The following is a 16,577-nucleotide window of genomic DNA, read 5'->3' as shown; positions in this document are numbered from 1 at the left end:
TATTTCTGTTATTTCCTATTTGACATTTATCTGTTAACACACTTCTGTCCATAGTACACACAGTAGTTGACAGAGCCAAGATATTGGAATTGTTTTGGCTCTGGGATGGTGAGTGATAAGTAAATTTTCCCCCTTTTTCTTTCACCTTTTATTTGCAAGCAACTAGTTGGCTTATGTTTCCTTTGAAGGTGTAGAGTTAAGTACTCCAGCATTCACTGGGTCTTCTCTGTGGCTGACCCAAAGGTCTCTGATCCTTTCTTTTGAAATTGGTGAGATTGTTGGTCCACTGGGCATATTGAACCATCCACATTGCTTGCTCTTTCTAAATTGTGCTGTAGCACCTGAGCTTTCTAACTTGGTGTTATTTTTGTCTTTCTGCTTAGTTATGTGTAATGGAACAGTATAGTTGACAAAGGATTATTTAGAAAATTTTCATCTCTCTTACCCCCTATTTTGCAGAGTGTGAGCTGGCGCCATGTCTAATTCAACGGTATGGCAGTAGCTGTTTTTATAAACATTTTCCTCCCTCTTCCATTAGTGTATATGTAGTGAAGTTGACTTTTTAAAGTAAATTGAGCATTTTTAGATTTGGAAGGTGGCTCAGCAGTAATCTAGGCAGCAGCTTCAAGATCATTTCAATGCTATTTGTTGGATTGGAATTTTCAGGATGCTTAGATATATCTCTCATGTAAGGTAGGACTATTTTTGTTTTGTAAGTGAAATGACTCCACTTAAACTTTATTGTGTAAAATCTTCTTTAATTGATGTGGTCTTAACACTATGTCATAATGTAAAGTGTTGGTAGAAAAAGTTAGCATCTTTGGGTTTAATTTGAATTATTGCATTTGATGGGAAAATTTTCATGTGTATTTTGTCATTACTATTATTGAAAAATCTATTTTTTCAAAGTACTTAACAAATAAAATCTACGACCATGTGTGATATTCATAATGATTGCTGAAAATCAGGACAGTAATTTTAGCACACATCTTAGTCTATATTTGGAACCAGTCAGTCTGCAGTTAACTAACAAATACATGCTAGTTGTTTTTTGGAGAGAAAAGCTAGAAACTAAACATTTCCAAAAAAAAAAAAAAAAAAAAGAACTTGAATACTTTCTATAACCAGTTTAATATTTATGAAACCAGATGGGGGCATTTTCATTTATGTTTAGGTTTGATCACATCCAAGATGACAATTTTTTTTAGCATCTCTTAAATCTAGAATTTTAAAGATTAGCAGATATTATTTCCACCATTTTTACAATGTGAAAAATGGAGCTAGAGAGAAAAAGCAAGGCAGAATTAGCATGCAGAAGCATAATGAGATTTGAAATTGGTCTATAGCTGCCTGTTTTAGATACTAATTTTGACAGTAGATGCTAGTATTTGCTGTCATATGTAAATAAGAGGACAACCTTTATTGGTTTATTAGTCCTTTTGTTTTTTTTTTCTTTAGAGTATTTGAGGAAAAAGTATCTTCTCAAGTTAACTGAATTTTTTTTAAACTAATCTGTGATGCCTATTTCCAGTTTACATCAGCTTCCCCCTTAGTTAATAGATATACTTTTCAACCCATTATTTTTTTGGAAAATATAAACAAGTTGTTTCTGGAACTTGCCACAATAATGATAGGGAAATAGACAAATAGTAAGGAAAATTTGAAAGGGAGGGATCAGTGCTTCTCAAAATTAAGTGAGCTGTATATATATATGTGCAAAAAGCCTTGTCAAAAATCAGTGCCAAATGAGCATTTTTGGCAGAAAGAAACATTTACTGCTACATATGTTATGGGGTTGACATTTCAGAATAAGAGGCATTTTCTTTTTTAAACATTTATCTTGAGTATATAATATGCATCAAGACCTATTTTCATCCTTGACTTAGGATTAAAAGTGAATATGGTTTTTCATTCTAGTAGGGCATATACTTCCATATTGTGCTTAAGAGAGTATCTGTGAATTTTGTTTTTAGAACCTACAAGGACTTAGAATAATATAAACATAGGATGTGTGAAGGTCCTCAAGTGTAGCTTCTACTGGGAATAAAATTAAGCAAATACACTCAGCAATATCTATAAATAGAGTGATTTAGATCTCCAAGTAAAATTACCTGATAATATAGTTCAAGAGTGTGAACATCTTAGTATTTATATAATTATTTGGGTGATTGTAGGCATTCCACAAAGGCAAATTTTTCTTCCAGTGAATATTTTGTAGCATTATTTTTAATATATATATATTTTCTTTTTTGAGACAAGGTCTCCCTCTGTCACCTAGGCTGGAGTGCAGTGGTGTGATAATGGTTCACTGCAGCCTTAAATTCCTGGGCTCAAGCGATCCTCCCACCTCAGCCCCCTGAGTAGCTGGGACTACAGGTGTACCACCGTGCCCAACTAATTTTTATATTTTTCGTAAAGACAGGGTTTTGCCATATTGCCCAAGCTGGTCTCAAACTCCTGAGCTCAAGTGGTCCACCAGCCTTAGCATCCCAAAATGCAGGGATTACAGGTGTGAACCACCATGCCTGGCTGTATAATTTTTTTTACTGTGATAAAAACATCTTAAACATTTTTAAATGTACAGTGCAGAGGTATACAGTTCACATTATTGTGAAACGACCTTCAGAACATTTTCATCTGGTAAACCTCAAACTCTATACTCATTAAACAACTCTGCTTTTCACCCACCTCCCCCTAGCTTCACCCTCTGCCCCTGGTAACCACTATTCTACTTTATGTTTCTATGAATTTGACCACTTTAGATACCTCATACAAGCGGAATCATACATACTTGTCTTTTGTAACTGGCTTATTTCACTTAATATAATGTCCTCCAAGTTCATCCATGTTGTAGGATATGTCAGAATTTCCTTAGTTTTTAAAGCTGAATACTATTCCGTTATAAGTATGTACCACATTTGTTTATCCATTCATCATCCATGGACAGTTGTGTTGCTTCCACCTGTTGGCTGTTGTGAACACTGCTTCTATGAACATGGGCATGCAAATACCTCTTCAAGACTGTGCTGTTAATTTTTTTCAGATTATACCCTGAAGTGAAATTGCTGGAGTATATGGTAGTTCTATTTTTAATTTTTGAGGAACCTCCATATTGTTTTCCATAGGAGTTGCACCATTTTACTATCACACCAACAGTGCACAGGTGTTACAATTTCTCCTCAACCTTGCCACTTATTTTGTGATATTTTGATTGTAGCTGTCTTAATGGGTGCAATATGATATTTGTTACAGATTTGATTTGTATTTCTCTTATGATTAGTAACATTGGACATCTTTTCATTTGCTTATTGGTCATTTGTATATCCTCTTTCTATTCAAGGCATTAGCCCATTTTTAAATAGGGTTATTGGAAGTCCTAGCCAGAGCAATCAGGCAAGAGAAAGAAATAAAAGGCATCCAGGCCGGGCGCGGTGGCTCACGCCTGTAATCCCAGCACTTTGGGAGGCCGAGGCGGGTGGATCATGAGGTCAGGAGATCGAGACCATCCTGGCTAACAAGGTGAAACCCCATCTCTACTAAAAATACAAAAAATTAGCCGGGCGCAGTGGCGGGCGCCTGTAGTCCCAGCTACTCAGGAGGCTGAGGCAGGAGAATGGCGTGAACCCAGGAAGCGGAGCTTGCAGTGAGCCGAGATTGCGCCACTGCAGTCCGCAGTCCGGCCTGGGCGACAGAGCGAGACTCCGTCTCAAAAAAAAAAAAAAAAAAAGGCATCCAAATAAGAAGTCAAATCATCTCTCCTTATTGATACGATCCAATACCTAGAAAACCCTAAAGACTCTGCCAAAAAGCCCCTGGAACTTATAAACAGCTGTTATACAGTTTCAGGATAAAAGACCAATGCACAAAAACCAGTAACATTTCTATACACCAATAGCATTCAAGCTAAGAGCCAAATCAAGAATGCAATCCCACTTACAGTAGCCACAAAAAAAAATCCCCAACATCAATAATAACAACAACAACCAAAGCCTAAGAATACATCTAATCAAGGAGGTGAAAGATCTCTGCAAGGACAGCTACAAGACACTGCTGAAAGAAATCAGAGAGTACGAAAAAAACATTCCATGCTCATGGATTGGATTAATCAATATTGTTAAAATGGCCATACTGCCCAAAGCAGTCTACAGATTCAGTGCTATACTTATCAAGCTACCAAAGTCATTTTTCACAGAACTAAAAAAACAAAACAAAACAAAAACTATTTGAAAATTCATAGGGAACCAAAAAAGACCCTGCATAGCTAAAGCAATCCTAAGCAAAAAGAACAAAGCTGGAGGCATCACAATACCTGACTTCAAACTATATACTGTAAGGCTGTAGTAAACAAAATAGCCATAGTACTGGTACAAAAACAGACACATAGACCAGGGAAATAGAATAGAGAATCCAGAAATAAAGCCACATGGTTAACAAAGTTGACAAAACTAATATGGAAAAGACTTCCTGTTTCCCTGTTCAATAAAAGATACTGGGATAACTGGCTAGCCATATGCAGAAAAATGAAACTGGACACCTACCCCTCACCGTGTAGAAAAACTAGCTGTTTTAAAGATTTAAATATAAGTCCTCAAACTATAAAAATCCTATAAGAAAACCTAGGAAATACCCTTCCCAACATTGCCTTGATGAAGGATTTATGGCTAAGTCCCCAAAAGCAATTGCAGCAAAAAAATTTATAGGTGGGACCTAGCCAAAGTAAAGAGCTTCTGTACGGCAAAATAAACTAACAGCAGAGTAGACAGACAACCTACAGAATGGGAGAAAATGCCTGCAAACTATGTATGTGACAAAGGTCTAATATCCAGAATCTAAAGAACTTAAACAGTTGAACAAACAAAAAACAACACCATTAAAAGGTGGGCAAAAGGCCAGGCGTGGTGGCTCATGCCTGTAATCCCAGCACTTTGGAGGGCCGAGGAGGGCGGATCACAAAGTCAGGAGACTGAGACCATCCTGGCCAACATGGTGAAACCCCGTCTCTACTAAAAATACAAAAATTAGCTGGGCGTGGTGGGTGCACGCCTCTAGTTCCAGCTACTTGGGAGGCTGAGGCAGGAGAATAGCTTGAATCCGGGAGACGGAGACTGCAGTGAGCTGAGATCGTGCCACCGCACCCCAGCTTGGAGACAGGGCGAGACTCCATCTTAAAAAAAAAAAGGTGGCCAAAGACACGAACAGACACTTCTCAAAAGAAGATGGACAACTGGCTAACAAATATGACAAAGTGCTCAACATCACTAATCACCAGAGACATGCAAATCAAAACCACAATGAGATACCATCTCGCATCAGTCAGAATGGCAACTAACGAAAAGTCAAAAACCAACAGATGCCAGCAAGGCTGCAGAGAAAAGAGAACGCTTATACACTACTGGTGAGAATGTAAATTAGTTCAGTCACTGTGGAAAGCAGTTCAGAGATTTCTCAAATAACTTAAAACAGAACTACTATTCGACCCAGCAATCCCATTACTGGATATATATCCAAAAGAAAATAAGTTGTTCTACCAAAAAGATACATGTACTTGTATAATATGTTCATTGCAGCACTATTCACAATAGCAAAGACATGAAATCAACCGAGGTGCCATCAGCGGTGGATTGGATAAATAAAATGTGGTACATATACACCATAGAATGCTACGCAGCCATAAAAAGAATGAGATATCTTTTGCAGCAACATGGATGCAGCTGGAGGCCATTATCTTAAGCAAATTAACGCAGGAACAGGTAACCAAATACTGCATGTTCTCACTTATAAGTGGCAGCTAAACATTGGGTACTCATGGACGTAAAGATGACAACAATAGACTCTGGGGATTACTATATGGAGGTAGGAGGGTGAAGAATGTGGGCTGAAAAACTACCAATTGGGTACTATGCTCACTACCTGTGTGATGGAATCAATTATACCCCAAACCTCAGCATCATGCAATATACTCAGGTGACAAACCTGTACATGTACCCCCTGAATCTAAAATAAAAGTTGAAATTATAGAATAAATAAACAAATAGGGTTATTTGATTTTTTCTTGTTGAGTTGTAGTTCTTTATATATTCTAGGTATCAACTCCTTGTCAGATAATATGTTTTGCAAACATTTTCTCATTTTGTACATTGCCTTTTCACTCTGTTGATTGTGTCCCTTGGTGCACAAAAAGTTTAAAGTTGATTTAGACCCATTTGTTTATTTTTGCTTTTGTTGCTTGTGTAGCATTTGTTGTTATTAGCAGTTTTAAAAAAAATCGTTAGAATTGTTTCAAATTGCTGTTTACTAATTCCTTTCCTCCTTATTTAAAGTCCACAGTAGTATTCTTGAGACTATGTAATGATGATACATGCCATAATTATTTTACAAATTGAAATTAATTTCAATGGAATTTGTCTCTGTGGAAGAGCCACTTTAAAAAAATCTATCTAATGTAGAATTTTGTTGTTGTAACTTAACCAAATGTTAATTGAAATTGTGTTAAACCTATACGTTGATTTAGGGAGAATTGCCATCATCACTGCGTTGCTTCTTTCAATCCATGGACATGGCATGTCCCCAGGTGTTTAAGTCTTCATTGATTTCTTTCATCAGGATTTTATATTTTTTTAATTTTTTTTTGTTTTTTCTTTTTTTTTTCCATGTAAACCTTCCTGCACAAATTATAATTTTAATTATGTAAATCTTGCACATGTTATCTTAGATTTATACCTATATTTTAAATTTTCTTTGGAAAATTATACCTGTGTTTTAAATTTTCTTTGGAAAATTATACCTATGTTTTAAATTTTCATTTCCATTTCTTCATTGTCAAGATATAGAAATGCAATTGATTTTTGTGTGTTGATCTTGTGTTCTTCACTTTGAGGGTTTTTTTTAAATGTAGACAATCATGTCATCAGAAAATAGAGACAGTTTTATTTCTTTCCAATCCATATGTCTTCATTTTTCTTGCTTTATTGCAATGGCTGGAACTTCCTGTACTATGTTCAATAAAAGTGGTGAGAGTGGACATCCTTGCCTTCTTCTTCTTCTTCTTTTTTTTTGAGATGGAGTCTTGCTTTGTTGCCCAGGATAGTGTGCAGTGGCACGATCTTGGCTCCCTGCAACCTCTGCCTCCCGGATTCAAGCAATTCTGCTGTCTCAGCCTCTTGAGTAGCTGGGACACAGGTGCATGCCACCACTCCTGGCCAATTTTGTGTTTTTAGTAGGGGATTTCACAATTATTGGTCAGGCTGGTCTCGAACTCCTGACCTCAGGTGATACACCGGCCTCGGCCTCCCAAAGAGCTGGGATTACAGGCGTGAGCCACCATGCCTGGCTGCCTTCTTCTTAATCATAGAAGGAAATCAGTCTTTCACTATTAAATGTAATGCTAATTATGTAGGTTTTTTGTACCTGCTCTTTACGGGGTCAAGAAAGTTTCTCTCTGTCCTTAGTATGCTGAGACATTTTATCCTGAATGAATGTTGGATTACATCAAATACTTTTTTTAGTATCAATTGATATGGATGTATGATTTTTCTTTCTTAGCTTATTGATATGGTAGGTTACATTGATTTATTTTTGAATATTGAATCAGCCTTGCATACATGAAATAAATCTCACTTTGTCATGACAGCACATACTTATACATATATTATACATACACACACATTATACATATACACACATTAGGTACACACACAATATATCCACAAATATTGTTAGATTCAGTTTGCAAAATTTTAAGGATTTTTGCATCTAAGTGAATGAAATATATTGGTCTGTAGTTTCTTTTTCTGGTGCTTCTTTGGTTTTGGTTGTCAGAGTACTATTGATCTCATAAAATGAGTTGGAAAGTGTTTCTTCTTCTATTTTCTGAAAGAGTTTGTTTAAAAATGGTGTTAATTCTTCATTGAGTGTTTGGCAAAATCCCATAATAAAACCACCTTGGTCTGGACATTTCTTTTTCAGGATATTTAATGACAAAATCAGAATTATTTCTTTAGTAGTTATAGAACTATTTAGGTGATCTGTTTTATCTTGCCTGAGATTGGGCAGTTTGTGTTTTTTTAAGAAATTGATTAGTTTTGCTAAGTTGTTGAATTCATAACAGTAAAGTTATTCATAATTTTCCCTTATTATCCTTTTATTGTCTTTAGATTCTGTTGAGATAGGTTTTTTAAAATTTTTGTTTATTTATTTATTTATTTATTTTTAAGAGACAGGCCTTGCTATGTTGCCCAGGTTGGTCTCGAACTCCTGGGCTCAAGCAATCGTCCCCCGTCTTTGTTTCATTTTTGATGTTGGTGACTTGAGTCTTATCTTTTAAAAAATCTGTGATGGTTAATATTAGGTGTCAACTTGGTTGGATTGAAGGATGCCTAGATAGCTGGTAAAGTATTATTTCTAGGGGTGTCTGTGAGGGTACTGCCAGAGGAGATTGACATTTGAGTCAGTGGACTGGTAGAGGAAGACCCACCCTCATTGTGCCAGTGTGGCTAGAACAAAGCAGCCAGAAGAAGGTGGGATAAGCTTTGCTTGCTGAGCCTTCTGGCTGCCTTCTTTCTCCAGCCTTGGATGCTTCCTTCTGCTTCTCCTGCCCTTTGGACCTCAAACTGCAGGTTCTTTGGCCTTTGGACTCTGGGACTTGCACCAGGGAATTGCCAGGGGTTTTTGGGCCTCTGGCCACAGACTGAAGGCTATACTGTCGGCTTCCCTGGTTTGAAGCTTTCGGACTCAGACTGAGCCACTACCAGCTTCTGTCTTCCCCAGCTTACAGGCGGCCTATTGTGGGACTTTGTCTTGTAATCCTGTGAGCCAATTCTCCCTAATAAACTCCCTTATATATGTAGTCATATATCCTACTAGTTCTGTTCCTCTGGAGAACCATGACTAATACAAAATCCTTGTCAGTTTTGCTAGATGTTTATCAATTTTATACATTCTTTTAGAAGACTTTATTTTATTTTATTTTATTTTGGATACAAGGGGTACATATGCAGTTTTGTTACCTGGGTATATTGCATGATGCTGAGGTTTGGAATATGGATAGTCCCATAACCCATTTAGTGAGCATAGTACCCAATCAGTAGTTTTTCAGCCCACGTCCCCCTCCCTCTCTCCCCTCTCTAGTAGTCCCCAGAGTCTACTGTTGCCATCTTTATGTCTGTGAGTACCCCATGTTTAGCTGCCACTTATAAGTGAGAACATGCAGTATTTGGTTTCCTGTTCCTGTGTTAATTTGCTTAGGATAATGGCCTCCAGCTGCATCCATGTTGCTGCAAAAGATATAATCTCATTCTTTTTATGGCTGCATAGCATTCCATGTGTATATGTACCACATTGTATTTATCCAGTCCACTGTTGATGGGCACCTCGGTTGATTTCATGTCTTTGCTATTGTGAATAGTGCTGCAGTGAACATATTATACAAGTGCATGTATCTTTTTGGTAGAACAACTTATTTTCTTTTGGATATATATCCAGTAATGGGATTGCTGGGATGAATGGTAGTTCTGTTTTAAGTTATTTTGAGAAATCTCCAAACTGCCTTCCACAGTGACTGAACTAATTCACATTCCCACCAGCAGTGTATAAGTGTTCTCTTTTCTCTGCAGCCTTGCTGGCATCTGTTGGTTTTTGACTTTTTGTTAGTTGCCATTCTGACTGATGCGAGATGGTATCTCATTGTGGTTTTGATTTGCATTTCTCTGATGATTAGTGATGTTGAGCATTTTTTCATGTTTGTTGGCCACTTGTCCATCTTCTTTTGAGAAGTGTCTGTTCATGTCTTTTGCCCATTTTTTTTTTGAAACAGGGTCTCACTCTGTCACCCAGGGTGGAGTGTAGTGGCACAATCTTGGCTCACTGTAGCCTTGACCTCCTGGGCTGAAGCAGTCCTTCTATCTCAGCCTCCTGAGTAGCTAGGACTAAAGGTGCACACCACCATACTCAGCTAATTTTGTTTATAGTTTGTAGAGATGAAGTCTCATTATATTGCCCTGGCCGGTCTCAAACTCTGGGCTCCAGCTCTCTTCCTGCGTCGGCCTTCCAAATTGCAAGATCACAGGTGTGAGCCACTGCACTCAGCCTTTTGCCCATTTTTTAACAAAATTATTTGTTTTTTGATTTTTCAGCTATTTAAGTTCCTTTCAGATTCTGGATATTATAGCTTTGTCAGATACATGGTTTGCAAATATTTTCTCCCATTCTGTAGGTTGTCTGTTTACTCTGTTGATAGTTTCTTTTGCTGTACAAAAGCTCTTTAGTTTGATGAGATCCCACTTGTCAATTTTTGTTATTGTTGCAGTTGCATTTGGGCACTTAGCCATAAACTCTTTGTCAAAGCCAGTGTTTGCTAGGAAGGGTATTTCCTAGGTTTTCTTCTAGGATTTTTATAGTTTGAGGGGTTACATTTAAATCTTTAATCCATCTTGAGTTAATTTTTGCTTGTGGTGAGAGGTAGTTTGTCCAGTTTCTTGCTTCTGCATGTGGCTAGCCAGTTATTCCAGTGTCATTTATTGAATAGACAGTCTTTTTCTTATTGCTTATTTATTTATTTATTTGTTTTTGAGACAGAGTCTCGTTCTGTCACCAGTCTGGAGTGCAGTGGCGTGATCTCGGCTCACTGCAGCCTCCGCCTCCTGGGTTCAAGGGATTCTCATGCCTCAGCCTCTCGAGTAGCTGGGACTACAGTGTGCGCCACCATGCCCAGTTACGTTTTGTATTTTTAGTAGAGATGGGGTTTCACCATGTTGCCCAGACTAGTCTCGAACTCCTGACCTCAACTGCTCCACCTGCTTTTGCCTCCCAAACTGCTGGGATTACAGGTGTGAGCCCTTATTGCCTGGCCCCTTATTGCTTATTTTTGTCGACTTTGTCAAAGATCAGAGAGGTGTCGCTATGCGGCTTTATTTCTGTGTTCTCTGTTCTGTTCCATTGGTCTTTGTATTTGTTTTTCTACCATTACCATGCTATTTTGTTTACTGCAGCCTTGTACAGTTTGAAGTCTGGTAATGTGATGCCTCCAGCTTTGTCCTTTTTGCTTAGGATTGTTTGGGCTATCAGGGCTCTTTTTTGGTTCTATATGAATTTTCAAATAGTTTTTTTCTACTTCTGTGAAAAATAACATTGGTATTTTGATAGGAATAGCATTGAATCTACAAGTTACTTTGGGCAGTGTGGCCATTTAAATGATTCTGATTCTTTCAATCCAAGGGCATGGAATATTTTTCCATTTTTGTGTTATCTCCGATTTCTTTCAGCAGTGTTTCATAGTTCTCCCTGTAGCGATCTTTCAGTTCTTTTGCTAGATATATTTGTACATATCATTTTTTTTGTGTGTGGCTATTGTAAATGGGATTGTGTTGTTGATTTAGCTATCAGCTAGAACAATATTGGTGTATAGAAAAGCTACTGAAGACTCTTTTTTGTTTCATTTATTTTCACTGTTGTTTTCCTGTTTTCAGTTTCATTGATTTCTTATATTTATATAAGTTTTTTTTCTGTCTACTTTGGATTTTTTTTCTCCCTCTTGCAATTTCTTGAAATAGGAACTTAGATTATTAATTTGAGAGTGTTTCTCTTTTCTAATGTAAGCATTTAGGTGTCTAAATTTCCTTCTCAGCCTGGCTTTAGCTGCATTTGACAGATTCTGTTATGTTTTCTTTTCACTTTTACTCAGTTCTATGTGGTTTCAAAAAAATATGATTCATGGACTATTTAGAAATGTATTGTTTAATTCCAAGTGTTTGAAGATTTTGCTGCTGTTTCTGTTATTGGTTTCTAGTTTAATTCAATCTAGTCAGATAACATACTCTGTATGGTTTAAATTCTTTTAAATATGCTAAGACATGTTTTATGAGCTGTGATATGGTGCATCTTGGTGAGTGCTGTATGGGCACTTGAGAAATTCTTGAGTAGAATGTCTAATGTCAATCATAGCCTACTGGTTGATGGTATTGTTCAGTTTTCCTGTATCCTTGCTGATTTTTAATTTAGTAATCTATTAATTGCTGAGAATGGGGTATTGAAATCCCCAGCTAACTTCGTTGATTTTTTTTTTTTTTTTGTGACAGAGTCTCGCTCTGTCGCCCAGGCTGGAGTGCAGTGGTGCGATCTTGGCTCACTGAAAGCTCCGCCCCCGGGTTCACACCATTCTCCTGCCTCAGCCTCCTGAGTAGCGGGGACTACAGGCGCCCGCCACCATGCCTGGCTAATTTTTTTGCTATTTTTCAGTGGAGACGGGGTTTCACCGTGTTAGCCAGGATGGTCTCGATCTCCTGACCTCATGATCTGCCCGCCTCGGCCTCCCAAAGTGCCGGGATTACAGGCATGAGCCACGGCACCTGGCCTACCTTTGTTGATTTTTAAGCTTTTCAGATCTATTAGTTTTTGCCTTGTGTATTTTGAAGCCATCTTGTTTGGTGGATATACACTTATTATTGTTATATCTTCTTGGTGGATTGAGCTTTTTATAATTTTGCAGTAGCCCTCCTTGGCTCTAGTGATTTTTTTTTGCTTTGAAATTTATTTTATCTGATATTGTTATAGCCACTTCTGCTTTTTAAAAATAAATACTTGCATGATATATCTTTTTCCATAGTTTTATTTTCAATCTATATATGTCATTATGTGTGAAAAGAAGTTTTTATAGATATGTATAGTTGGGTTGCATTTTAAAATTTACTGTGCCAATCTCTCTTTTAAATGATGTGTCTGTACCATTTATGTGTGTAGTTGTTGATATATCAAGTCTGCTTTTTTCCTCATTTTTTATTTCCTTTCTTTCTCATTTTTCTATTTCTTTTTCTTGCCTTTCTGTGGATTACTTGGATATTTTTTAGAGCTGCATTTTTATTTATTTATAAGTTTTTGAAACATATAGCTTCGTATAGTTTTCTTAGTGGTTGGCCTAGGTATTACTATTTTTCTTAGTGGTTCCCCTGGTATTACTTTATACATACTTAGTTTATCATAGCTTACTTTTTTACATTTTTCAACTTTGAATTAAGTATAGAAAACTTTACTTCCATTTAGGTCCTTTTACCCTCTCTTCTTTTTAATTATAATTGTTTTAAGTATTTCCCATACATACTTTGAGTAACAGAAGAGATGGTTGCTTTTTCCATAAAATATTATTAAAGAATTGTATGTTAGCAATAGTCTGTTATGTGTACTTGTATTTTTCCCAATTCTGTTATTATTCTTTCCTTTCTGAAGATCTCAGATTTATCATTTTCTTTGTGTTAAGAGAGCTTCCTGAAGCCATTCTTTCATGGGACATCTGGTAGTATCAAATTTTCTTAGTTTTCCTTTGTCCAGAATGTCTTTTTTCACTCCTCATTCCTGAATGATGGTTTGGCCAGATACAGGAAATGGGATTAACAGTTACTTTCTTTCAGCACTTGAAAGAGAAAAGCCTGGCCAAGATGGCAAGATCCTGTTTCTACAGAAAAAAATTAAAAATTAGCCAGGCCCATGGTGGTGTGCGCCTGTAGTCCCAGCTACTTGGGAAGTTGAGGTGGGAGGATTCCTTGAGCCCAGGAGTTCAAGGCGGCAGTGAGCTATGATTGTGCCTCTGTGCTTCAGCCACATTTGGAGAATGTGGCTCCAAATGCCTGTCTCAGCCAGCAGTCTTATGCACAAATATAATAGGCAAGACTACCACCTCCATTTTTACTAGAGGGAAGTGTAATTTTTTTTTTCTTCAGACCAAAATTTTTCCTCTAGAATATTCTTTTGACAGTGAATTCTGTTAAGGGAAAGAGAAGACAAGATTGTTGGGATTTGGTAAATTCTCACTCACTAAAAGATGAATTAAGCCCTAGCCTTTACATATATGTTTTAGTTGAACAGAAGTGTAAAATTAATTTGTAGTAATTGCACAAGCATTCCAGAAGATTGGCTTGATACCTTAGTGGTCTTTTAAAGTCAGCTATCAGAAGAACATGATGCGTATTTGATTTTAAAAAATCTTTCGAGTCTTTTTTAGAGTTGATTTTGTTTTCATTAGTAATCCTTTGAAAATTTGCCATAAGCAAGTCCTGCAAGCCCCATACATTTTTCGCACCATCAAAAGCCTTCTCGGGATTACCCCAAGAGTACTTAGATTCACTGTGGTGTTTGTGAAGCCCCTTTGCAAAATTATGAGAGTAAGAGAACTCTGACATAGTTGACTCCATTTTGCTTCTAACTTCCAAGCTATCTTTGATCATTCCTAGGTGTAGGCCAAGCTAATTTTGGATGGAATTTAGTTTATAGTTTAACCTTAAAGCAAGGATGATAATAGTTCTTTCCCAAATTAAACTGTCTTTTTAAAACTAATGAAAGACTGCAAGGTTAGGATTATGAGAGGGGCCTGCATTGTGCTAAAATGTAGGTGTAGTTAAACAACAACCAGCCATTGATCCGGATATTAAAAGATTTGTGACTTACCCAATTATTTCTCTAAAATCCCTACTCTAGAACCTAAGATTGGCCTTTTGAGATGTTTTTCAGACTTCTGCATTTCTGACTGTTGGGTGACTCCACCTGGACCCTCGACTCCTGACTCAACTGGTCCTGTGGCCTCCACCCGGAGGCAGACTCAGCACACAAGGAACATTTTCCACACCGCTATGATTTCATCCCCAGTCAGTCAACATTCCTCATTCCCTAGCCCCTTGCCTACTAAACTATTCTTGAAAAACCCTAATCTCTGAGGCTTCAGAGAGACTGATTTGAGTGATAGCTCTGTCTTCTGTGTGGCTGGCCTCCCGTTAATTAAACTTTACTTAATGCAATACCATGGTCTTCGTGAACTGGTTGTTTGTGTAACGTTGGGTGATTACATTTGCGGGCTGCTGAAGCTAAGCATGGTCTCCTCTCTGCTTCTGAGAGCTCACAAGAGAAGGGCCTAGATCCTTCCTGTCCAAACTAATTCAGTGGGGAGGAGTCATGGTCATAAGCTTTTCAGGCTTTTAGGTACTTTTAATATGTGTTGAATTAATGAATAAATTAAGAATCAGTTCAGAGTCAAGTTTATTTATCTCACGCTCCATAACTATTTTGAAATTGTAAGCAACTAATTTGATAATAACAGTCAAATGTCTTTTATGTTAGACATTTCCATTTTAATCATTGCTAGACTAGAATTTCAGGGTTTTAACTATATGCTCTGCTATCATTCTCATTTACTTCTCCTTTTCCAAGTGCCAAAGTACCTCTTCCTTTTTTGAAAGCCTTCTGATATAATTCTGATTTAAACTAATTTTTAATAAATGAGTTATAAAAATCAGTTACAAAGATATTAAAATATTAATAATTTTTGCCACCTATTTTAAATCATCCTTTCATGGTTGAGATTTGTAGTTTTTCATAGAAAAACTAGATGACTATGATGTTTGACAAAGATCATTCTTTTCAATATGTAAAATCTCCAGTATGCCATTCTAGAGGATGATTAAAATGAATAATTCTTTTTTTTAACTGACTATAATTTATCTGTCTCATTTGAGCTTTGGATAGGGTTCTGGTTAAGGGTCCCTTGGTTAGGCTGTTTCCTCTAATTAGTGGTTTCTCATCTGTTTGTGAGGAGCTAGCTAAAAAGGATTGGGAAGCTGAGAAAGAAAAGCTTCATCAGTTCATATATTCCCTCGGGCACATTTGTAACTCAATCTCCCTTCCTGACTGGTGTCTGCATCATTTTTATCCTGATGGTCTACCTCAGCAGCTGCCTTAGATTCCATAATGGATGAGTTATTATTTTAACTCTATGATGTTTAGCTTTACATTTGGTAGGTGAGATAGATGATATATAAAACCTAATTTTTATCCCATAAATATATATGTCTACTATGTACCTACAAAAATTGAAAATTAAAAGAAATTCTTATTAAAAAAACCTAATGGACTAAAATGAGGAAAATAGGAAATTCATTGTTTTGTTATAGGCTACCCGGAGATAATTATACTCAAAGTACAAACTAAATATTTAGATGAAATAGTCACATAACTCTTGTTAATAACATTAAACAAATAAGGAAAACATTGTTCTATTCTAAAACCATACCTACATTGTCGGATCTTGCAGTCACAATATGACTTTCCAAATTATTGCTTTTACACTACCCCCACTACACCCCATTTTCTAGCCCAAAAGAGCTAAATTTAAATTTAAATTTAAATAGTAGCATGCTATGAGTTTTTTCCACCTCCAGCCCTTCTGTTTGTGTTCCAAGGGGAAATACTTGGCATATGACCAATTCTTTACCTACTTTGGACATCATCAGAATTGTGGATGCTGCAGCCTGTCTCTTCCTGAGATGAATTAGAGATGTCTGCCAGTCAACTCATGGCTGGCTTTTGACTCTAATAGCTGGGCCCATAGTGTTAAGTCAGGCTGCATAAAGTAAAACATCATAAAGTCATTTGATTTAGGCCCACAATTTGAAACAAAAAAAAGGTATGTGATTTTTTTTTTCCTCCATGTTTTAAGATTGCATAAACTTGTAACTAGAAATATTGAAGGTTAACATTCCAGAAAGACTGGCTGAATTGTTTCACCTGGATTCCTAAAATAGATTTTATGGAGCAGTGTATAT

General features: G+C 36.9%; 1 protein-coding gene and 1 long non-coding RNA gene across 8 annotated transcripts in view; both read left to right on the top strand.

Moving 5' to 3' along the window:
- Positions 1-16,577, top strand: part of TTLL7 (tubulin tyrosine ligase like 7) — a 134,109-nt gene that overhangs the window by 5,238 nt on the left and 112,294 nt on the right. The gene's annotated exons all lie outside the window — the stretch shown is intronic.
- On the top strand, positions 9,595-14,777 carry TTLL7-IT1 (TTLL7 intronic transcript 1). Its single transcript, NR_046841.1, has 2 exons — positions 9,595-10,063; positions 12,326-14,777. It is a non-coding gene; the product is annotated as a TTLL7 intronic transcript 1 (long non-coding RNA).

Source organism: Homo sapiens, chromosome 1 (assembly GCF_000001405.40).
Source record: "Homo sapiens chromosome 1, GRCh38.p14 Primary Assembly".
Classification (NCBI taxonomy): domain Eukaryota; kingdom Metazoa; phylum Chordata; class Mammalia; order Primates; family Hominidae; genus Homo; species Homo sapiens.
This window is presented reverse-complemented; position numbering and strand designations above follow the sequence as displayed.